The 24,640-nt window shown below is 46.4% G+C and overlaps 2 pseudogenes across 2 annotated transcripts, besides 1 other annotated feature; both read left to right on the top strand.

Annotated features, from left to right (window-relative positions):
• On the top strand, window positions 4,126–4,311 carry CYP4F36P (cytochrome P450 family 4 subfamily F member 36, pseudogene; annotated as a pseudogene).
• Window positions 10,805–11,099: a silencer, noted in NCBI's record as "tiled region #12980; K562 Repressive DNase matched - State 8:EnhW". NCBI's record gives its function as "represses a minimal TATA promoter and a strong SV40 promoter by Sharpr-MPRA in K562 cells {active_cell/tissue: K562}" and the evidence as "EXISTENCE:reporter gene assay evidence [ECO:0000049][PMID:27701403]".
• On the top strand, window positions 11,054–23,985 carry CLEC4OP (C-type lectin domain family 4 member O, pseudogene; annotated as a pseudogene). Of its 2 annotated transcripts, none has more exons than NR_171052.1 (3): window positions 11,054–11,162; window positions 21,142–21,245; window positions 23,729–23,985. The product of NR_171052.1 is annotated as a C-type lectin domain family 4 member O, pseudogene, transcript variant 1 (transcript). The 2 variants fall into 2 exon arrangements; NR_171053.1 differs by lacking the exon at window positions 11,054–11,162 and adding an exon at window positions 12,945–13,066.
• Window positions 23,986–24,640: the final 655 nt, after the last annotated feature.

The following is a 24,640-nucleotide window of genomic DNA, read 5'->3' as shown; positions in this document are numbered from 1 at the left end:
CAGGTTCTTCAGGGAAACTAAATTCCCATTGCTGTTAGAATGGGATGGCTGGGGCATATTATCAGTGTATGTTTACCATGATGAGAAACTATCAAACTGTTTCCAAAAGGTCCATGTCATTTTTAATTCCTATCAGGAATGTATTGAAGTGGCGTTGTTGTCTGGGGTAAATACCCAATGTTCATCATCTCACATCAAGGAAATCAAGGACACCGACACACAAGAAGTAAGCTTAAGAGTTGAGGTTTAGGCTGAGCGCAGTGGCTCATGCCTGTAATCCAGCACTTTGGGAGGCTGGGGCAGGTGGATTACCTGAGGTCAGGGGTTCGAGACCAGCCTGACCAACATGGCAAAACCCTGTCTCTACTAAAAATACAAAAAATTAGCCAGGTGTGGTGGCGCACACCTGTAGTGTGCTACTCGGGAGGCTGAGGCAGGAGAATCACTTGAACCCAGGAGGCAGAGGTTGCAGCAAGCTGAGATCGCACCATTGCACTCTAGCCTGGGCAACAAGAGCAAAACTCCATCTCAAAAAATAAAAATAAAAAAAAGAGTGGAGGTTTAATAGGCGAGAGAAAAGAGAAAAGCTCTCTCTTCTGCAGAGAAAGAGGGGCTCCTGAATGGGTCTTGTGGTTTTGTGGTGAAACGCATGGGGTTTTATAGACAAGCTTGAGGAGGCAGTGCCTGATTTACATAGGGCATGAAAGATTGGTCAGACCAGGTGTGCTGTTTGCATAGCATGGGAGGAAGCTGGCTATCCCACCCTGATCTTTTATTATGCAGATAGGGGTCTCTACCTGGCCGGTGCTTTTTCTACCTGTTGCCTGCTTTTCACTACACACATGGTGACAAAGAAAAGGGAAGAGGAAACCTCCAAGTTGAATACACCTGGCTTCCAGATATCCCTTTTCTATTGGCACAGCTGCCGGCATTTACCCATGTAAACTTCCAGCTTGCTTATCTGTGCTTGCAGCTTGATATTTCAGGCTGCTTTTTGTTAGAAAAGAAATGACTTGGGGGCTGCTTTTTATGAAAAGGAAACCTTACTGATAACTGTCTTATCCTCACTATCTGCCAAAATAATTTCTTTCTAGCTCCTGTATTGGTATGAGAATTCTAGTTCCTCCAAATACTCACCTGTACTTGATAGTGTCAGTTTTTTTTTCCAGTCTTCCTTGTGGGTATGCTGCGGTATGTCACAGAGATTTTAGTCTGCATTTCTCCATCTTTTCATGTGCCTTCTTTGTATTTTCTTTGGTAAAGTGTCTGTTCTAATCTTTTGTCCATTAATTTTCCTTGGGTTGTTTGCTTTCTTATTTTTGGATTTTGAGAGTTCTTTATAGATTATATTTTGCAGACAAGTCTTTTGTCAGATGTGTGATTTGCAAGTATTTTCCCCTAGTCTGCGGCTAGCCTTTTCATTATCTGTTTTTTTTCTTTTCTTTTTTTTTTTCCTTTTTAAGACAGAGTCTCACTCTGTCGCCCCAGCTGGAGTGCAGTGGCGCCATCTTGGCTCACTGCAATCTCCATCTCCTGAGTTCAAGCAATTCTCCTGTCTCAGCCTTGGGACTATAGGTGCCTGCCACCATGCCCCGCTAGTTTTTGTATTTTTAGTATAGACGAGGTTTCACGTTGTTGACCAGGCTGGTCTCGAACTCCTGACCTCAGGTGATCCACCTGTTATAAGTAAAGTTTTGGTGCCGCAAAAGAAATATCACTCGAATATAAAATTTTCTTTTTAATTCTCAGCAAGGAAAGGTACTTCTATAGAAGGGTGCGCCCTTACAGATGGAGCAATGGTGAGCTCACACTTGGACAAGGGAGGGGAAGGGGTTCTTATCCTTGATGCATGTGGCCCCTGCTGCTGTGTCGTTCCCCTATTGGCTAGGGTTAGACCACACAGGCTAAACTAATTCCGATTGGCTAATTTAAAGAGAGTGGTGGGATGAGTGGTTTGGCGGGAAAAATGGTTATGACAGAGCAGGTAATCAGAATGAGTCACGGTGGAGTAGGTAATAGGAATGAGTCAGGGTGGAACAGGTAATCCGAAAAGGCTGCTTTATGAGGAAGTTAAATTTAAAAGTAGAAGGCAAAGAATTGAACATCCTGACATATTGATTCTTTGAAAAGAAATTTAGAACTCATATCTAACACACCTGCCTCAGTCTCCCACAGTGCTGGGATTACAGGTGTGAGCCACCGAGCCCAGCCCTGAAGTTTCTTTTATAGAGCGAAAGGTTTTAATGTTTATGAAGTACCCTTTATCAATTTTGTTTTTTGTGGATTACTTTTACGCCATTATATTTAAGAACTCTTTGCCTAATCCCTATGTCCCGGGGGTTGAAATATTTCTGTATCCCTGGGATATACAGGTTAGGCAAACAGGTTTTTGTTTGTTTGTTTTTTTGTTTGTTTGTTTTTGTTGTTGTTGTTTTGGTGTTTTTTTTTTTTTTAAGACAGATTCTCGCTCTGTCACCCAGGCTAGAATGCAGTGGTGCAATCTTGGCTCACTGCAACCTCCACCTCCCAGGTTCAAGCAATTCCCATGCCTCAGCCTCCTGAGTAGCCGGGATTACAGGGGCATGCCACCATGCCCGGCTAATTTTTGCATTTTTAGTAGAGATGAGGTTTCACCATGTTGGCCAGGCTGGTCTTGAACTCTTGGGCTCAAGTGATCCGCCAGACTCGGCTTCCCAAAGTGCTGGGATTACAGGTGCGAGCCACCATGCCCGGCCAAAGAGTTCTTACCTGTAACAGTGAAATATGTGGGATGTAGAAATATAATTGAGTTTTGTTTATTGACCGTGTATCCTACACTCTATTTGATCATTCCTGTTGGAATACATATAATGCTATATTTCCTCAATCTTAAAACAGTTCTTCTCTTAGCCTCACTTTCATACTAGCTGATGTTTGTTATTTTCCCATGTTTAGATTCCAGCCATCCTAGGGGCTGTGAAGAAGCATCACACTGTGGTTCTGATTTGCTTGTCTCTAATGACAAATAATGTTGAGCACCTTTTCCTGTGCTTCCCAGTGTTTAAAACAGCATTTTCAGGCTGAACGCAGTGGCTCACACCTGTAATTCATTTTGGGAAGCCGAGGTGGGTGGATCACTTGAGGCCACGAGTTTGAGACCAGCCTGGCCAACATGGCGAAACCCTGTCTCTACTAAAAATACAAAATATGTAGCCAGGCGTGGTGGTGCATGCCTGTAGTCTCAGCTGGTTGGGAGGCTAAGGCAGGAGAATCACTTGAACCTGGGTAGTGGCGGTTGCAGTGAGCCAAGATTGCGCCACCACATTCCAGCCTGGGCAACAGAGTGAGACTGTCTCAAAAAATAAAATAAAATAAAATAAAATAAAATAAAATAAAATAAAATAAAATAAAATAAAATAAAATAAAATATAAAATAGCATTTTTTGTTTTAGATAGAGTCTCACTCTGTGGCCAGGTTGGAGTACAGTGGTGTGATCTCAGCTCACTGCAACCTCTGCCTCCTGGGTTCAAGCGATTCTCCTGCCTCAGCCTTCCGAGTAGCTGGGACTACAGGAGTGTGCCACCACACCCAGCTAATTTTTGTATTTTTTGTAGAGACGGGGTTTCACCATGTTGGCCAGGATGGTCTCCATCTCTTGACCTCGTGATCCACCTGCCTCAGCCTCCCAAAGTGCTGGGATTACAGGCATGAGCCACCACACCCAGCCTAAAATAGCATTTTTAAACAAAAATATTGCACGTAAATGTAATAAATTTAGATATTAATAAGCATTTTCCCAGATAAAAAGATTACATATAAATAAAAAACCTGGACGTGTGAGAGAATATTTACAGTGCTTATTTTGACATGGGATTGTGGATAACTTCTATTTCTTACTTTTGCTTACTTGTCTTTTTTATGGGAATATTCATCATTTTGGAATGAAAAATTTAACTATGAACTCTAAAGGCAAAGAGAAATGAATGTGACATAACTTAGGCTATATATCTAATGTATATTTATTTCATTTTGCAGCATTGCTTTTCTATTTTGCAGACAGTAATCCTCTCAGAGCTGTGCCTGGTTTGGGGGATGGTGCCAGGATGGGGCCAGGATGCGGGTCTTGGGCACAGTCAGAGTCCTCTCATCTGCCCGCAGGATCTGCATGGGGCAGGTGTTCGCCGTGGCCGAGATGAAGGTGGTCCTGGCACTCACGCTGCTGGGCTTCCGCTTCCTGCGGCACCACATGGAGCCCGGCAGGAAGCCAGAGCTGATCATGCATGCGGAGGGCGGACTTTAGCTGCTGGTGGAGCCACTGAGCTGAGGCCTGCAGGGATCCACCCTAACCCCACCCACCCACCTTTGCAGATTCCCAGGAATAAAATGTTTGTCACCTCTGCCTGAGTCTCATCTAAAGCCAGCAGGGGCTGCTTGGGGACTGCAAGGATCCAGGGTGTGTGTGGGTGGAAGTGGGGCAGGGTCTCTGAAGCCAAGACCCTGACTGCCTCTCTGGCTGACCACATGGATCGCAGGTTCAGAGCCCAACAATGGACTTTATCATGTGGGCAATAAGGAGCTATGGGAGGTGCTTGAGCAGGAGAGGGACCAGGTTTTAGGATGGATTTAAGGGGCAATATTGAGGCTCTGAGTCCCTTTCTCTTCTGGGTCCCTGATGCTGCACAGGCAGCCTGTCCAGCAGATGCTACCTGAGCACCCCTCCCTCCCAACTGTGTGCCAGGTGCTCTCATAAGAGTGTCGGGGGGAAGGTGCATCCCCATCCTTTCACCTCTAAGTTCCTCCTCCATTCCCAGCACAGGCCTCCCTGGCCCATTTTTGGGGGGGTCAGGGTCAGGGTCATCCCTTTTGGCTCTAGAGATTCAAAGCCAGACCACTGGATGCAAACACCACCCAAAGGCATGGGATCTGGAGCCGGACTGCTTGGGCTCAAGCCTCAGCTCTGCTGTGTGACTTGGGCAAGTTAATTCCCTTCTCTGTGCTTTGGTTTCCCAACCATATAATGGAGACAACAGCACCTACGTCAGACTCATCCCAGGGACTAAATATAAGGGGCTCAGAGCTGTGCCACTTTATAGAAAATGCACTATAAACGTGGCCATTATTACTTCCTGCCTCAGAAAGCCTGGCTCTTGCAGATCTCAAAAGGTCTTTTGAGACTGTTATTTGTGTATCTTGGAAATCAATGGCAACAATTTTTTTTTTTTTTTTGAGACAGAGTCTCACTCTGTCACCCAGGCTAGAGTGCAGTGGTGTGATCTCGGTTCACTGTGACCTCTGCCTCCCGGATTCAAATGATTCTCCTGCCTCAGCCTCCTGAGTAGCTGAGATTACAGGTGCACACCACCACGCATGGCTGATTTTTGTATTTTCAGTAGAGATGGGGTTTCACCATGTTGTCCAGGCTGGTCTCGAACTCCTGGCTTCAAGTGATCTGCCTGCCTTAGCCTCCCAAAGTTCTGGGATTACAGGTGTGAGCCACCATGCCTGTCCGGCAAGAATTCTTTTTGTTTCTTTGTTTTGTTTTGTTTTTTGTTTTGAGACAGAGTCTTGCTCTGTCACCCAGGCTGGAGTACAGTGGCACAATCTCGGCTCACTGCAACCTCCGCCTCCTGGGTTCAAGCCATTCTCCTGCCTCAGCCTCTGGAGTAGCTGGGATTACAAGCGCGTGCCACTACGCCCGGCTGATTTTTGTATTATTAGCAGAGACGGGGTTTTGCCATGTTGGTCAGGCTGGTCTCGAACTTCTGACCTCCTGATCTGCCTGCCTCGGCCTCCCAAAGAGTTGGGGATTACAGGCGTGAGCCACTGCGCCTGGCCAAGAATTCTAACGTGTGCTCATTGAATGAGCTCTGCCTGCCCTCTCTGCTGTGCATATAGGAGGCGCTTCTTTTTTTTCTGAAAGCGATGGGGGCACATGGAAGTGCAAGGGGGTGGGAGCTGAAGGAAACCTCAGTGAATGTCTCCCAATAAGATCCTGCTACAAACATTTATCTCTTAGCATAAGGGACTCGGCACCACTGATCCCTGCAGACCCCTCAAACCTCCTTCCCAGCTGCTCTCCCTCCCTCTCTGCACTTGGCCGCCCTGGGCTCAATTCTGATTCCCTAATAGACTCTCTGTTCTTCTCTCACAGCCTTTGGATTTGCGGTTCCCTGTGCTTGGAATGCTTTTCTCCCAGCTCTTTTGTGACTGAGTCTCATCTGATTCCAGGATTGGCTGAAATGGCACCTTTTCATCCAAGCTCTTCCTCCTCTATCTAAACAGCCCCCCATCCCAGATAATTTTTATCCCATGATCAGTTTTTGTCATAGCATTTTATTGCTCTGAGAGAGTGTTTGTTTCCTAGTTTATTGAAAGCAGATAGGGTACGCAATCCTTTATCGTTTGTCTTCTTCATCGAGCTGCAAGTTCCATAAGGCAGAGAGATCTCTTTTGTCCTGTCTGTTCTTGTTCTGTTTATTCAATTATAGTAGATTCTGTTAGAGCTCTGCCTGTAACTCTTTGCATATTGCTGTTGCAATATTTACTATCCTGTCTTCCAACTGCCAACGTCTCTTTGCTGCAGAGCTTCCTGTAGCTGGATCTCACTCTGCCTCTCAGACAAGCCCAGAAGTGTTGGGAAATTAACCTCTCATTGATTGGTTCTTAACCAAGGACTGATGGTTGCTGGCAGATGAATCCTTCAACCCCCCACCCTCCAGCCCTTTTCCTGGAATAACTCAGTGCATTCCCTACACTGTCCTCTAGAGGTTCCCAGTGAACCGCACCCCCTCTCCGATTAAGGCTCACACTTAACAATAGGCCCAACACCAGGCTCTTTATCTCAATCTGCTTCTGGAGACCCATCTAAGACACCTGCTTGAAGAGAGCCTAGACATAATTCAGTAAATATTTCTCCTTCTCTCCCCTCCCCCGCCCCTTCCTTCCCCTCTCTAATGACCAATAATGTTGAGCATCTTTTCCTGTGCTTCCCAGTGTTTAAAACAGCATTTTTAGCCTGGACGCGGTGGCTCACACCTGTAATCCCAGCACTTTGGGAAGCCGAGGTGGGTGGATCACTTGAGGCCATGAGTTTGAGGCCAGCCTGGCCAACATGGCGAAACCCCATCTCTACTAAAAATACAAAATATGTAGCCAGGCATGGTGGCACACGCCTGTAGTCTCAGCTCCATGGGAGGCTGAGGCAAGATAATCACTTGAACCTGGTTGGTGGAGGTTGCAGTGAGCCAAGATTGCGCCACTGCACTCCAGCCTGGGCAACAGAGTGAGACTATCTCAAAAAATAAAATATAAAATAGCATTTTTTTTTTTTAGATGGAGTCTCACTCTGTCAACAGGTTGGAGTGCAGTGGCGTGATCCCCCTCCACTCCCCTCCTTTTGTTTTTGCTCTTTCTTTTTTCCTTCCTTTCCTTTCCTTTCCCTTTCTTTCTTTCTCTTTTTTCCTCTTTCTTTCTTCTTCTATCTCTAGCTCTCCTTCCTTCCTTCCTCCCTCCCTCCATCCATCTCTCCCTTCTTCCTTCCTCCCTCCTCCCTTTCTTTCTTCTTTCTTTCTCTCTTTTTCTTTCTTTTTTCTTTCTTTCTTCCTTCCTTCCTTTCTTTTTCTTTCTTCTCTCTCTTTCTTTCCTTCTTTCTTCTTTCTCTCTCTCTCTGTCTCTCTCTTTCTCTCTCTCTCTCTCTCTTCCTTTCTTTTCATCTCACTCTGTCGCCCAGGCTGGAGTACAGTGGTGCAGTCTTGGCTCTCTGCAACCTCTGTCTCCCGGGCTCAAGAGATTCTCGTGCCTAAGCCTCCTGAGTACCTAGGATTACAGGTGTGTGCCACCACGCCTAGCTAGTTTTTGTATTTTTAGTAGAGACGGGGTTTCGCCATGTTGGCCAGGCTAGTCTCAAACTCTTGGTCTCAAGTGATCTGCCCGTCTCAGCCTCCCAAACTGCTGGGATTATAGGTATGAGCCATCACCCCCAGCCGGTTCAGTAAACATTTCTGAATAAATGACAAACACGATCAACACTAGTACCACACGATATCGCTATTTATTTGTCAGAAATATTGCTTCTAAACTTCTCCCCAGACTCACCCCCAAGAAGTTGGCTAGAACTTGAGCAGTTGTCCTTTAATTGCGATTTATTTCATGAACAGGTAACATATGATTTTAACGTGGTTGTCATAAGGAAGTGCTGATAGGCAAGGTATCTGGGAGTGACGCTGACACAGTTGGGTCCCAGTCGGACTGTGCTTCTGTATGATAAACTCCAATTGTATAGTTCATTTGTGCTTTCAAAAGGTACTTATTAAGGCCAGGCACACTGCACTCCATCTTGGGCAACAGAGTGAGACCCTGTATCTTAAGAAAAAAAAAAAAAAAAAGGACTCACACCTGTAATCCCAGCACTTTGGGAGGCCGAAGCGGGAGGATCACTTGAGGTTGGGAGTTCAAGACCAGCCTGGCCAACATGGTGAAACCTCGTCTCTACTAAAAATACAAAAATTAGCCGGGTATGATGGTGCATGCCTGTAGTCCCAGCTACTTTACTAGGGAGGCTGAGGCAGGAGCTTTGCTTGAACCCGGGAGGTGGAGGTTGCAGTGAGCTGAGATCATACCACTGCACTCCAGCCTGGGTGACAGAGTGAGACTCTGTCTCAAAAAAAAAAAAAAAAAAGATATTTATTAAGTGCTTAAGCCTGTGTAATAGTTGTCTATTACTATGTAACAAGTCAGCCCCCCACCAAAACATAGTGACCTAAAACAACAAATATCAGGATTAGGGCATTATATTTCAATACATTGGAATTATTTAGAAGACTGTGATACTCAATATAAATATGAGAAAGAGTCTCACTCTGTTGTTTTTGTTGTAATTGGTTTTTGGGATTTGCCAAAAATTATTTGCCAAGGCTGATGTCAAGAAGGATGTTTCTTAGGTTTTCTTCTAAGATTTTAATACTTTGAGGTCTTACATTTAAATCTGTAATTCATCTCGAGTTAATTTTTGTACATGGTGAAAGGTCAGGGTCCCGGTTCATTCTTCTGCACATGGTTAGCCAGTTATCCCACGAACATTTATTGAATAGGGAAGCAGCCAACAAACAAATGAAAAAATGTTCCTCTTCGTTAATCATCAGACAAATGCAAGTCAAAACCACAATAAGATTCCATCTCACACCCGTCAGAATGGCTGTTACTAAAAAGTGAAAAAAAAAAAAAACAACCAAATACTGGTAAAATTGCAGAGAAAAGGGAACACTGCTGGTGAGAATGTAAATTGGTCTAGCCACTGTGGAAAGCAGTTTGGAGATTTCTCAAAGAACTTTAAACAGAGCTACCATTTGACCCAGCAATCCTATCAGTGGGTATCTACCCAAAAGAAAATACGTTATTCTACTAGGTAGACACATGCACTTGTGTGTTTACTGCAGCACTACTCACAATAGCAAAGATGTGGAATCAGCCTAGGTGCCCATCAACAGTGGATTGGATATTTTTTTCCTTTTTTGAGATGGAATCTCTCTCTGTTGCCCAGGCTGGAGTGCAATGGTGTGATCTTGGCTCACTGCAACCTCCGTCTCCTGGGTTCAAGTGATTCTCCTGCCTCAGCCTCCCGAGTAGCTGGGACTACAGAGACCCACCCTCACGCCCAGCCAATTTTTGTATTTTTAGTAGAGACAGGGTTTCACCATGTTGGCCAGACTGGTCTTGAACTCCTGACCTCAGGTGATCTGTCTGCCTCGGCCTCCCAAAGTGCTGGGATTACAAGTAGGAGCCACCGCACCTGGCCTGTATTCATTTTTTTAAAATATCATTTTACGTTCAGGGGTACATGTGCAGGTTTGTTACACAGGTAAACCTGTGTCACGGGAGTTTGTTCTACAGATTATTTTTGTTACCCAGGTATTAGGCCTAGTACTCATTAGTTATTTTTCCTGATCCGCTCACTCCTCCTACCCTCCAGCCTCCAATAGGCCCCAGTGTGTGTTGTTCCCCTCTATGTGTCCGTGTGTTCAAATCATTTAGCTCCCACTTATAAGTGAGAACATGTGGTATTTGGTTTTCTGTTCCTACGTTAGTTTGCTTAAGATAATGGACCCCAGCTCCATCCATGTTCCTACAAAGGACGTGATCTTGTTCTTTTGCATGGCTGCACAGTATTCCATGGTGTATCTGTACCACATTTTCTTTATCCAGTCTATCATTGATGGGCATTTAGGTTGATTCCATGTCTTTGCTATTGTGAATAGTGCTACGATAAATATTCTCATGTGTGTGTCTTTATGGTAGAATGATTTATATTCCTTTGGATGAATACTCTATAATCAGGTTGCTGGGTCAAATGGTAGTTCTGTTTTTAGCTCTTTAAGGAATCGCCACACTGCTTTTCACCATGGTTGAACTAATTTACACCCCCCACCAACAGTGTATAAGGATTCCGTTTTCTCTGCAACCCCCTGCCCCCAGCATCTGTTATTTTTTGGCTTTGTAGTAATAGCCATTCTGACTGATGTGAGATGGAATCTCATTATGGTTTTGATTTGCATTTCTCTAGTGACCGGTGATGTAAAGATTTTTTTTTCATATGCTTGTTGGCCACATTAAAACTACAAGTAGCTACCTAGCTGGGGAGATGAATGAAAGCTGTTGGGAAATGTCATTGTCCTCGGTGTCCAAGAAAAGAGTCACACAAATCATTTCCTCGGTTGAAATGTCCACCACTTCATCGTGAGAAGCCAAGAGCACTTTTCATGCTAAGCTGTGAGAAGCAGAGAGTGGCGGTGGGGGTGTCAGTACAGGGATCTGAGATTCCGTTCTCTGTTGCTTTGTGTTTCAGTCACCTTGGACAGAAATCAGCTTTGCAGAGGAGACTTGGTGCCCACTGCCTCCTGAGCTCAGAGACCCAGGTCCTCTTTCCGGCTGTGTTAACAGATGACCAGATATCTCAGGATCTCGGGCCACACTCTAAGCCAGGAAGGAGGAGCAGTGTAAGAGACTTGAAGGGGAGTGTTTCCTTCCAAGGGCTGGGTGGAGTTTCCCAGAAATAAGCATGTAGAGTAGGAGCATCTCAGAGCAGAGTGAGCTGCGGTCATGATTGAAGGCAGGGATGCTAGCAGCAAGGACCCCAAAGAATTATCAGCATTGGGGCCCAAACTTCCCCCCAGGCTGGGGGAAACTGGTGAGTCAAGAAGCTGGGACCAGAAACCCTTTTATGTGCAATTAAGAGCTTGGTGGGCCAGGCGCGGAGGCTCACGCTTATAATCCCAGCACTTTGGGAGGCCGAGGTAGGTGAATCACAAGGTAAGGAGTTCAAGACCAGCCTGGCCAACAGGCGAAAACCCGTCTCTACTAAAAAATACAAAAAATTTAGCTGGGTGTGGTGGCGGGCGCCTGTAATCCCAGCTACTTGGGAGGCTGAGGCAGGAGAATCTCTTGAACCCTGGAGGCGGAGGTTGCAGTGAGCTGAGATCGTGCCACTGCACTCCAGGCCGGGTGGTAGTGCGAGACACCATCTCAAAAAAAAAAAAAAAAAAAAAAAGAGCTGGGTGCTGGGTTGCCCCTGCACTCTAACCATAGGCAGGAGAAAGAGAGGGCATGGAGTTCCCATCTTTCTGAGGCTTCCTCCTCATTACTCCACATCCCAGAGGGACAGGCTTCTTTTTCTAGTCTTTTCTGAGTCCTCAACATCCGGTGCATTCAGCAGGGGTCCCAGAAGAGCACGGGGGATTCAGCGATTTCCCTGCAGCCTGAGAGGAGTCTCGGGCATCTAAGGAAAAGAGAGTGGGTATCCCTGAAGGGAGGGGAAGCTGACCTGGTTTCCACCCAGGGCAACGGGCACAGAAGCCCCATGACAAGACCTGGAAATGCCGGGCGCGGTGGCTCACGCCTGTAATCCCAGCACTTTGGGAGGCTGAGACGGGTGGATCACGAGGTCAGGAGATCGAGACCATCCTGGCTAACACGGTGAAACCCCATCTCTACTAAAAATACAAAAAATTAGCCGGGCGCGGTGGCGGGCGCCTGTAGTCCCAGCTACTCGGGAGGCTGAGGCAGGAGAATGGCGTGAACCCAGGAGGCAAAGCTTGCAGAGAGCGGAGATTGCGCCACTGCACTCCAACCTGGGCGACAGAGCAAGATTCCGTCTCGGAAAAAAAAAAAAAAAACAAAAACAAAATAAAATAAAAAATAAAAAAAGACCTGGAAGTATCTCTGCCCGGTGGTGTCTCTGATCCTGCTTCTCCTGGTTGTTCTCCTCAGTGTGCTTCTGTCCAGAGGTAAGGCGGCTGAATCAGGGGGACCAGGTGGCCCCGGGACAGCAGCCATGAGGGCTCCCAACCTGTAGGGTGGGTCGGATTCGGAAACGCTGGGATAGGGGTGGAGCCGGAGGGGCTGCTGGTCGTGTCCCTGGGGGTGACCATGGTGACACAGGAGGGAGCTGACCTCCTCACCAGCCTCAGAGGGAGGCATGCGGGGGTGTGTATGAACTGAAGGAGCAGAATCATTAGCGAGCAGGTTTGAGTCATTGGTGAGCACCTCCCCTAAGCCCAGCCCTGAGCTGGGATTAGAACCTCCAGGCTGCCTGCATTCCCTAAACAGTCCAGACACACTGGAATGAAATTCCCTCCTTACTACTCACTAGCTGGTTGCTTTTAGACAAGAAACTTTATGTCCCTGGGCCTGGGTTTTCTCATCCGCAAAATGAGTGGAACATTTCAGAGCTCCAAAGTGCCTTGCCCTGGGGCTGGAAGAAAGTCTTGGACTCTGGGAGTTGGGGGAACACAGAGAAACCCCAGGGAGGTTCTTTGAGTGAGGGGAGCGTCTAGAACATGCTGCTGGCGTCTCTCCCCAGTCTTGAGGATGACGAAGGATGTGCGGGATGAAAAAGGTGAGTGGGCGTCCAAGGAGATGCCCCGCCCCCCGACCCTTAATCACATCTCCCAACCCGCAACTCTGCCAAGACCTTTACCAGCGCGTTCTCTTTGGGTCTCTCAGTGACACCGGGGCTGGCAGACACCGGACATGACCGGGACTTCATTCGGGGTGAAATGTTCAGGCAAATAAAGGTTGTCCAGGCACGCAATGGTGAGGAGTGGGGAAAGGGAGGTGGGGGAAGGGCGGGGACTCTGCTCCTTTCGGCACTGGTGACGGGGGCTTCCTGTAGCAGGGATCTCGGAAAGGCAGCCCAATGCCCGGGGGATTCTTGGGTCTTTTTAGTGCTAGCGGAACATGGAGAAAGTTGAGGTGACATGGTCAGACCAACGGATAGTGAAGGGATACCAGAAAAGTAAGGCTTTGAGGACAGTGAGACCTGCTCTGCAGGTGTGGCTGTGTGCAACCGCGGGGACAGCCCCTTTAACCTCTCTCAGCCTCAGTTCCCTCAGCTGCAGAATCGGGGGGAAATGAGCAGTGTCATTCTCAAGAGTCATTGTCAGGATTCAGAGCCTCCTCTTTTCTTTTTCCCTCCCCTCCCTTCCCCCTTCCCCTCCCCTTCTTCTTCCCCTCCCCCTCCCCCTCTCCCTCCCCTCCCCTCTCCCTCCTCCTCCCTTCCCCCTCCCCCTCCCCTTCCCTCCCCTCCTCTTTCCCTGGACTATGTTGCCCAGCCTTGTCTCACATTCCTGGGCTCAAGCGATCCTTCCACTTTGGCCTCCAAAAGTGCTGGGATTACAGGTGTCTGCTGTAAATCTACCTCTGACCGGAGCCTCCACTTTAAATCACCACATCAGTGTGCTGCAAAATACAGTGGGTCCTCTGCAGCCTGTCAGATGAATGCAGCGAGTTTGCTAAAATGCAGATGCCTGGGTTCCACACAACCCTATTGGATCACATTCCGTTGTAGGTGGTACCTTTGTGCTACATATTTTAAGTAGAACTCTTTTCCTTCCCAAAACTAAAAAAAATTAAGTCGATATCAAAAAGTTAATAAAACTTTGAAAAATATTTAATTGACTTTAATGCAAGTTTAATTTAAATTTAAATGAACATTTAATTAAATGAAATGTTTTATAAAATTTCAATGGATAATTGTATAGATCCATGAGGTATAATGTGAGGTTTTGATAAAGGTACACATTGTGGGCCAGGCACAGTGACTCACACCTGTAATCCCAGCACTTTGGGAGGCCAAGGAAGGCAGGTGGATCACTTGAGGCCAGGAGTTTGAGACCAGCCTCGGCACCATGGTGAGACCCTGTCTCTACTAAAAATACAAAAATTAGCCAGTCGTGATGGCCTATGCCTGTAATCCCAGTTTCCTGGGAGGCCGAGGTACAAGAATTGCTTGAACCCAGGAGGCAGAGGCTTCAGTGAGCTGAGATCATGCAACTGCACTGCAGCCTGGGTGACAGAGAAAGACTCTGTCTCAAAAAAATAAAAATAAAAATAAAAATTTAAAATGCATACATTGTGGAATAATCATTCCACAAGCTAATGAACATATCTATCAGCAAATCAAGCTAATGAAACTATCACCTCACCCACATATTCTTTTGTGTGTATGTGGTGAGAACAGTTAAAATCTACTCTTGGCTGGGCGTGGTGCCTCATGCCTATAATCCCAGCACTCTGGGAGGCTGAGACGGGCGGATCACCTGAGGTCAGGAGTTCGAGACCAGCCTGGCCAACATGGTGAAACCCCTTCTCTACTAAATACAAAAAATTAGCCGGGCGTAGTGATGGGAGCCTTTAATCCTAGGTACTTGGGAGGCTGAGGCAGGAGAATCCCTTGAACCCCGTAGGCAGAGGTTGCAGTGAGCCAAGATTGTGCCGTTGCATTCCAGCCTGGGCAACAGGAGTGAAACTCCGTCTCAAACAAACAAACAAAACAAAAAGCAAGAAAGAAAGAAGGAAAGAAAGAAAGAAAGAAAGAAAGAAAGAAAAGAAAAAATAAAATCTACTCTTTGAGGAATTTTGGAATAGAGATGACATTATTATTAACTATGGTCACCATGCTGTGCAGTGGATCATGACCAAACTTACTTCTCCTGTCTGATGGAAACTCTGCATCCTTTGACCAACATCTCCTTACCCCACCCCCCCTCCCCCATTCCCTGGTAACCACGGTTGTACTCTCTGCTTCTACGAATTAGATTTTTTAGATTCCACGGATAAGTGAGATCATGCAGGATTTATCTTTCTGTGCCTAGCTTATTTCACTTAACAGAATGTAAATAGAACTTTTGAATGACAGGATGAGATATGCTGTATATGCCGTTGAGTCTTAGTATCCACCATTGCTACACACTATGAAGTCCAGAGAGAACTGATTTCATGAATCCTGAACCACAGGTCCCAGGAGAAAATACAGTTAGGTTCCAGCGAGACTCTCATCACAGCATTTTGTCAACTGATCATTACGTAGCCTTGTTTGTGTGTGTTTCTGTTTAAATACATTTTTTTTTGAGACAGAGTCTCCCTCTGCCACCCAGGCTGCAGTGCACTGGCATGATCTTGGCTCACTGCAACCTCTGCCTCCGAGGTTCAAGTGATTCTCCTGCCTCAGCCTCCCAAGCAGCTGGGAATACAGGCATGCACCACCATGCCCAGCTAATTTTTGTATTTTTAGTAGAGACGGTGTTTCGCCATATTGCCCAGGCTGGTCTTGAACTCCTGGCCTCAAGTGATCCACCCAACTTGGCCTCTCAAAGTGCTGGATTACAGGCTCTGTTTAAATACGTGTTATATATATTGTTAATTCATTCACTTTGAATTATGGTCAACAGCACTATAGCTCAAGCCTGAATGAAGCTGCTCTAATACACATATTTTCTCCACGAGGCACATCACAGCCTTCTTGCATTTAGGAACACTAGACAGTGCTTCAGCATTATGCCAGGGCCATTTTCAACAACAAAGTCATCGACAAAAAGCACAAGGTCAGGAGTTTGAGACCAGCCTGGCCAACATGGTGAAACCCCATCTCTACTAAAAATACAAAAATTAGCCGGATGCGGTGGCGTGTGCCTGTAGTCCCAGCCACTCGGGAGGCTGAGGCTGGAGAATCACTTGAACCCCGGAGGCAGAGGTTGCAGTGAGCCGAGGTCGCACCACTGCACTCCTGCCTGGGCGACAGAATGAGACTCCGTCTCAAAAAAAAAAAAAAAAAGAAAGAAAGAAAGAAAAGCACAAAAATGTGAAAAACATGGCACTTAATAGTCCATGAAAAGGACACTTGTTTACAGCAGGAAAGCTGAAACAAGACAGCAGAGAGTTCTTTTCTTCTATCTCAGACTCAAACTTTTCACTACTCTGCTTATCCGCACAAATGACCCCCAAAATGACATAAGTATCTGCTCTGGGGTTACAAATACATTTCAGTGAGTAGGTGGATTTGTAAATATGGAACCCACAAGTAATGATTGATGGTGTATGTGTTCTGTAGATGGATATAGATAAAATCAGTGAGAATTTTCCCTCCCACTCCTGAAACCTCATTGCCATGTTCCCCACCTAAGCCCCAACACAAACTCCCAAGAACTACTGGAATTAGCTGGGCTTTATTCCTTTAGGGCAGCCTTTCTCAAACTCAATACGATTGACATGTGGGGATGAATCATTCTTTGCAGTAAGGGGCTGTCCTGTACATTGCAGGGTGTTTAGCAACACCCTTGGTCTCTACCTTCTCCATGCCAGTGGTACCTCTCCGCTAGTTGTGGTGAACAAAAATGCCTTCAGACATTGCCAGATGTCCACTGGGGACAAAATCGCCCCTGACTGGGGACCACTGCTTTACACTTTCTTTCTTTTTTTTTTTTTTTTGAGACGGAGACTCGCTCTGTTGCCCAGGCTGGGGTGCAGTGGTGCAATCTCGGCTCACTGCAAGCTCTGCCTCCCAGGTTCAAGCAGTTCTCTGCCTCAGCCTCCCAAGTACCTGGGACTACAGGTGCCTACGACCACGCCCGGGTAATTTTTTTTTTTTTTTTGTATTTTTAGTAGAGACGGGGTTTCACCATGTTAGCCAGGATGGTCTCGATCTCCTGACCTCGTGATCTACCTGCCTCGACCTCCCAAAGTGTTGGGATTACAGGCGTGAGCCACTGTGCCCAGCCGTAGAGTTTCTTTAAGAAAACAAGGAATGTCAAACATATGCTTTTCTATTTTATTTAAAGGTAGTATATTATTCACATTCTCTCAGGCTGGAGTGCAATGGTGTGATCTCAGCTCACTGCAACCTCTGCCTCCTGTGTTCAAGCAATCTCCTGCCTCAGGGTCCTTAGTAGCTGGTATTATGAGCACCCGCCACCACACCCAGCCAATTTTTGTATTTTTAGTAGAGATGGGGTTTCACCATGTTGGACAGGCTGGTCTTGAACTCCTGACCTCAAGTGATCCACCCGCCCCGGCCTCCCAATGTGCTGGGATTACAGGCGTGAGCCAACCGCGCCTGGCACATTATTCCTACAGTTGCCTTTTCCACTTAATAGGATATTTATGGCATTTTTTTTTTTTTTTTGAGACAGAGCTTCACTCTGTCACCCAGGGTGGAATGCAGTGATGCCATCTTGGCTTACTGCAATCTCCAGCTCCTGGATTCAAGCAATTCTCCCACCTCAGCCTCCCAAGTAGCTGGGACTAGGTGCGTGCCACCATGCCCAGCTAATTCTTGTATTTTTTTTGGTAGAGATGGGGTTTCACCATGTTGGCCAGGTTGGTCTCAAACTCCTGACCCCAAGTGATCCACCTGCCTTGGCTTCCCAAAGCGTTTGGATTACAGGCGTGAGCTAACACACCCAGTAGGATATTTATGGCATTTTAGTATGTCCTTCTGATATGTTTCAGTAATGTCAAGCACCAACTGTCTAGGTAGTGAGTTCCCCATTGTTGGGTGTATTCAAGTGGAAGCCATTAGGAATGTGGCCAGAAGCGAGTGGGTGGGCAACTGGGTGGAAAGCTGGATACACTAAATTTGCTAATGGCTCCATCCTCACAGAATCCTCCTGCCTGCCCTGCCCCAAGAGCTGGAAGGCCTTCCAGGGCTCCTGTTACAGCTTCTTTTCAGACAACCTCACCTGGCCCCAGGCCATTGATTCTTGTGCCCAGAAGCAGCTCACTTGGTTGTCATCAACAGCTGAGCAGAATAGGTGGGAAACGGAAAGTTAGGACCCTAGTGGAGGTGGAGGAAGGATTCTACAAGAATTTTGGGATTCCTATCCTTATCCCCTTTGGGATCATGTACAGTACTCTTAGTAGGATCTTGAAGATCTGCCTTCCCTTGCCCCAGCCCAATCTCACTGCTCCGTCATTCAGGGAACGGACCCTGTGCACTGTAGTCTTGTCTCGAAGCTCTGATTCCTGTGGGTCACTCTCTGGACAGTCCTTTCCTTTGCCATCTGCATGGAGAAGTCTTATTCATCCCTCAAAAGCCCAACACAAACATCCCTTCCTCCACATCCTCTTGTAGCATCATCAGAGATTTTTTTTTTTTAAAGATGAAGTCTCACTCTGTCGCCAGGCTGGAGTGCAGTGGCGCAATCTCAGCTCACTGCAACCTCCATCTCCCAGGTTCAAGCGATTCTCCTGCCTCAGCCTCCCAAGTAGCTGGGACTACAGGCGCCCGCCACCACGCCCAGCTAATTTTTGTATTTTTAGTAGAGATGGGGTTTCACTATATTGGCCAGAATGGTCCCGATCTCCTGACCTCAGGTGATACACCCTCCTCTGCCTCCCAAAGTATTGGGATTACAGGCATGAGCCACCGTGCCCGGCCCATCAGAGATCTTTATCCCAGAACTTCATGCTGCATTGGGGTTGCCTGGTATCCACTGACTCTGGGGCTAGATCTGAATCATGTCTGGGTCTCCTAGGCCAAAAACAAGGCTTGACCTAAGATAGGGTCTCAAGATTGTCCCTGGGATTGAGTCTCCTGACAGAAGTCTTCCTACGGCCTATAGATCAAACTGCTTGCTCTGACATGCACACTCACAGCCAATATTTATCCAGGGGGTCTTCCTAGGTGCACACACTTCTCACAATTGACTTGTGAGAATATATATATATATATATATATATATATATATATATATTTTTTTTTTTTTTTTTTTGAGACAGAGTCTCGCTCTGTTGCCCAGGCTGGAGTGCAGTGGCGCGATCTCGGCTCACTGCAACCTCCGCCTGCAGGGTTCACACCATTCTCCTGCCTCAGCTTCCCGAGTAGCTGGGACTACAGGCACCCGCCACCATACCTGGCTAAATGTTTTTTTGTATTTTTAGTAGAGACGGGGTTTCACTGTGTTAGCCAGGATGGTCTCGATTTCCTGACCTCGTGATCCACCCACCTCGGCCTCCCAAAGTGCTGGGATTGCAGGTGTGAGCCAACGTGCCCGGCCGTGAGAATATATTAAGAGCTGGGGATCTCCATTCTTTTGTTTGTGCTGATGGGGAAACTGAGGGGTGGCTGAATTGTTGGAGGCCATTGCAACGTGTATTACTTTCAATGGCAAAAACTGCGATTATTTTATTTTTTATTTCCATAGGTTTTGGGGGAACAGGTGGAATTCCTTGGAAGCTGAAATGATGGAGGCGGGGGTGTCCAGAGGGCGAGAGGAGTAAGATGCAGAGACACAGTTAGATGGGAAGACAGACAGAGGCAGGCAGGGAATTCACTGCCCTCGAATCCTGACTTTGAATCCCAGATCTACTATGTATTAGGTTGGTGCAAAAGTTATTGTGGTTTTACCACTATAGAAAACAGTGTGGAGATTCCTTAAAGAACTGAAAATAGGGCCGGACACGGTGGCTCACGCCTGTAATCCCAGCACTTTGGGAGGTGGAGGCAGGTGGATCACCTGAGGTCAGGTGGTACTTGGTTACATGAGTAGGTTATTTAGTGGTGATTTGTGAGATTTTGTGCACCCATCACCTGAGCAGTATACACTGAACCTAATTTTATCCCTCACCCCTTCCCACCCTTTACCCCCAAGTTCCCAAAGTCCATTGTGTCATTATTATGTCTTTGCATCCTCATAGCTTAGCTCCCACTTATGAGAGAACATACGATGTTTGGTTTTCCATTCCTGAGTTACTTCACTTAGAATAATGGTCTCCAATTCCATCCAGGTTGCTGCAAATGCCATTAATACATTCCTTTTTATGGCTGAGTAGCATTCCACTGTGTGTGCATATATACATACATATACACATATATACATATGTATGTATGTGTATATATACACACGTGTATATATGTATATGTGTATATATACACACGTGTATATATGTGTATATATATACACACATATTATATATGTATATATGTATATATACACACATGTATATATGTACACATACACACATATGTGTATGTGTATATATATCTCACAGTATACATATGTGTATATATTATATATGTGTGTATATATGTGTATATATATATCTCACAGTATATATATATCTCACAGTATATATCTATCTCACAGTTTCTTTATCCACTCATTGATTGATGGGCGTTTGGGCTGGTTCCATATTTTTGCAATAGTGAGTTGTGCTGCTATAAAAGTGCTTGTGCAAATATCTTTTTCGTATAATGACTTCTATTCCTCTGGGTAGATACCCAGTAGTGGGATTGGTAGATCAGATGGTAGTTCTATTTTTAGTTCTTTTTTTTCTTTTCTTTTCTTTTTGAGACAGAGTTTTGCTCTTGGTGCCCGGGCTGGAGTACAATGGTGTGATCTCGGCTCACCGCAACCTTCGCCTCCCAGCTTCAAGCAATTCTCCTGCTGCAGCCTCCCGAGTAGCTGAGATTACAGGCATGTGCCACCATGCCCAGCTAATTTTGTATTTTTAGTAGAGACGGGATTTCTCCATGTTGGTCAGGCTGGTCTCGAACTCCTGACCTCCGGTGATCCACCCGCCTTGGCTTCTCAAAGTGCTGGGATTACAGGCGTGAGCCACCGTGTCCGGCCCTATTTTCAGTTCTTTAAGGAATCTCCACACTGTTTTCTATAGTGGTAAAACCACGATAACTTTTGCACCAACCTAATACATAGTAGATCTGAGATTCAAAGTCAAGATTCAAGGGCAGTGAATTCCCTGCCTGCCTCTGTCTGCCTGCCCATCTAACTGTGATCTCTGCAACTTACTCCTCTCGCCCTCTGTACACCCCTGCCTCCATCCTTTCAGCTTCCAAGGAATTCCACCTCCCAAATGTAACTTCTTCCTTCCAGGACTTCCTGACATCAACTAACCAGGCGACATCCTGGATAGGCCTCTTCAAAGATGGCCAAGGAAGTGCCCACAGGTGGATGGATGGCTCAGCCCCCACCTACATGTGAGTATCTCCTTTGACACCAAAGATAGTCTCCCCTAAGAGGCAGGCATGGCTTTCAGGCAGTAAGTTATGACCACTGTAGGTGTTTCTCTTTCATTCATTCACAATGAAGTACCCGTAGTAGCTCCCAAACTGCCTGATATCCTTTCTGTTTTTTGTTTTTTTTAAGATGGAGTTTCACTCTTGTTGCCCAGGCTGGAGTGCAGTGGTGCGATCTTGGCTCGCTGCCACCTCTGCCTCCTGGGTTCAAGCGATTCTCCTGCCTCAGCTTTCTGAGTAGCTGGCATTACAGGCACCTGCCACCACACCCAGCTAATTTTTTGTATTTTTAGTAGAGACGGGGTTTCATCATGTTGGCCAGGCTGGTCTCAAACTCCTGACCTCAGGGGATTCGCCGGCCTCGGCCTCCCAAAGTGCTGGGATTACAGGCGTGAGCCACCGCGCACAGCCGACATCTTTTCTATTATCCTAGTTATAGTTATTTTGTTACTTGACAAGAGTGTTCCCAGTTTGGTGCTTGAGAAATTATGGGTTCAATGTCAAACTCTTTTTTTTTAAATTTAAATATACTTTATTGATAAAAAGTGCTAACAATCATCTGAGCCTTCAGAGAGAGTCATAATCTTTTTTAAATTTTATTTGAATTTTAATTTCTGGGGTACACGTGCAGGATATGCAGGTTGGTTACATAGGTAAATGTGTGCGATGATTGTTTGCTGCACCTATCAACTCATCACCTAGATATTAAACCCAGCATGCATTAGCTATTTTTCCTAATGCTCTCCCTCCCCCAACCCCACCTCCTGACAGGCCTCACTGTGTGTTGTTCCCCTCCCTGTGTCCATGTGTTCTCATTGTTTGGCTCCCACTTATAAGTGAGAACACGCTGTGTTTGGTTTTCTGTTCCTGCATTAGTTCACTGAAAATAATGGCTTCCAGCTCCATCTATATCCCTGTAAAGGACACGATCTCGTTCCTTTTTACGATTGCATAGTGTTCCATGGTGTATACGTACCACATTTTCTTTATCCAGTCTATCATGGATGGTCATTTGGGTTAATTCCATGTCTTAAATAGTGCTTCAATGAACACAGGCGTGCATGTATCCTTGTAACAGAATGATTTATACTCCTCTGGGCATATACCCAGTAATGGGATTGCTGGGTCAAATGATATTTCTGGTTCTAGATCTTTGAGGAATTCCACAATGGTTGAATTAATTTACATTCCCACCAACAGCGTAAAAGCATTCCCGTTTCTCTGCAACCTTGCCAGCACCTGTTGTCAAACTGCTTTCTTTGTTGCAGGACTTTTCAGAGCCCTGAATGTGCTAATGAGCACTAAGCCTACTCAGAAGGAGTGAAACAATGTAGCATTTGCCAACTGTATGACTTTCCCATGGCTGCCATAGCAAAGTACTGCAAACTGGGTGGCTTAAAACAACAGAAATGTGTTCTTTCACCGTTCTGGAGGCCAGAGGTTTCCAGTCAAAATGTCGGTAGGGCCATGCCCCTTCCAAAGGGTCTGAGGAAGAATCTTTCCCTGTGTTTTCCAGCTTCTGGTGGCTCCAGGCATTCCTTGGCTTGCGGCGGCATCACTCCACTGTCTGCCTCTGTCTTCTCACGGCCTTCTCCTCACCTCTGTGTCTCCTTTTTTCTGTCTGTTATAAGGACACTCAACATTGGATTTAGGGCCCACCTGACAAACCCAGGATGATCTCATCTTGAGAGCTTTCATTTAATTACAGCTGTAAAGACCCCCTTTCCAAGTAAAGTCACATGCACAGGTGTTAGGGGGTTGGACATGGCATATATTTTTGGAGAGGACACTTTAATTCACTATACCTCTTGGCATTGTCTTGCATCCTCACACTGTATGCCTTTTTCTGCGACATTTCCTACCTCCTGCATCACCTTCCCTGACTGGCAAGCTGCTCTGCATGGGGCCAAGCTTAGGGCAGAAGTTGTCTCATTGGCAGATTGATCTGCAATCTGAGCACCTTCCGTATACCTTATGTGCACTGGTCATCATATCCTCAGAATGAATTTCTATTTTGTGAAACAGGAAACGGCAGCTCATAGACATTAAGACCGTAGTCAAACAGATACAAGTGGCAGAGCTGGAATTTGAATGGGGTCTGTCTGGTTTCAAGCGGAATGGACCTTGGAGAAGGGGAGAAGCCCAGAGGGATGGGGCAGTCGGATGGTGGCCCAGGAGCTGGAAGACTTTCAGCTTTTCTGAAGACTGTGGCCTTGTTGCTACTCCTATCTGAGCTCCACTTGGAAAAAAAGAGGGAAGGGGTTGACCAGATGGTTACCATACAATGGGCTCAATAAGTGGCCATACAATGGGCTCAATAAGAGGCCCCAATAACTGGGGGCCTCTTGAGCTTCAGGTGGCAGATCCTGACTCACAGAGGGCAGGAGTTGGGGCTTCAGGCTCTGGTCCCATCAGAAAGGGATGTGGTGGGCATCTCTTCACAGAAACTGGGACTCCAGGAAATTGGATGATAATGGAACCACCCCAGCCTGTGTGATGATGCTCTACCAGGGACACTGGAGCAACTCCTCTTGCAAATCAGAGTCTCCTGTTTACATCTGTGAGAAGAGGCAGAGCTGCTGACCTAGGCCCCTACCCCATAAGATTGGTGTAAACCTCTTGTTGTGCATCCTCAACCTCCATCCCTGCCCTCTCTGGGCTCTGAATCCCCAGAGGCAACAATAAAGGACGTTTCTCCAAAGCCTAGAGTCTTTCTTGGCACAAGGCTTACTCACTTTTCATGTCCTTTTCTGATTTCTGCTGAGTGGAAGAAACGCCCCAGGAGCAATGTTGGGTCCGTCTATCCCTGCAAGGGGATTGTAGTTCCCACTCCCATTAAAGCCAGGCTTGGCCATGCTCCTGCTTGAGGTAATGAGATGGAACAGGAATTGGCATGTACCACCACTGAGCAGGAACCTTAAGAGCCTTATGTGGTTATATTATTTTTGCTTTTCCCTTGCTACAAGAACAGCCCATCCCAGAGAGAGGCCACTTTTTCACACTTGGTCCTGCAAGGAAGAAGACCCTGCAGAACAGAGCTTCTGTGGACCCACTATGGATATAAATGTAGCCAAGAAATGAAGCTTTGTGGTTGTCAGTTGTGTGAATCCGAAAATATCTGAGACAGGTCTCAATCAATTTAGAAAATTTATTTTGCCCAGGTTAAGGATGTAACCCTGACACAGCCTCAAGAGGTACTGACAACATGTGCCCAAGGTGGTTGGGGTACAGCTTGGCTTTATACATTTTAGGGAGACATAATACACCAGTCAATACATGTAAGATTTGCATTAGTTGAATCTGGACGTGTGGGACGACTTGAAGCTGGGCAGCGATGCAGGGTTGGCAGAGTGGGG

The sequence above is a fragment of the Homo sapiens genome, chromosome 19, assembly GCF_000001405.40.
Source record: "Homo sapiens chromosome 19, GRCh38.p14 Primary Assembly".
Classification (NCBI taxonomy): domain Eukaryota; kingdom Metazoa; phylum Chordata; class Mammalia; order Primates; family Hominidae; genus Homo; species Homo sapiens.
This window is presented reverse-complemented; position numbering and strand designations above follow the sequence as displayed.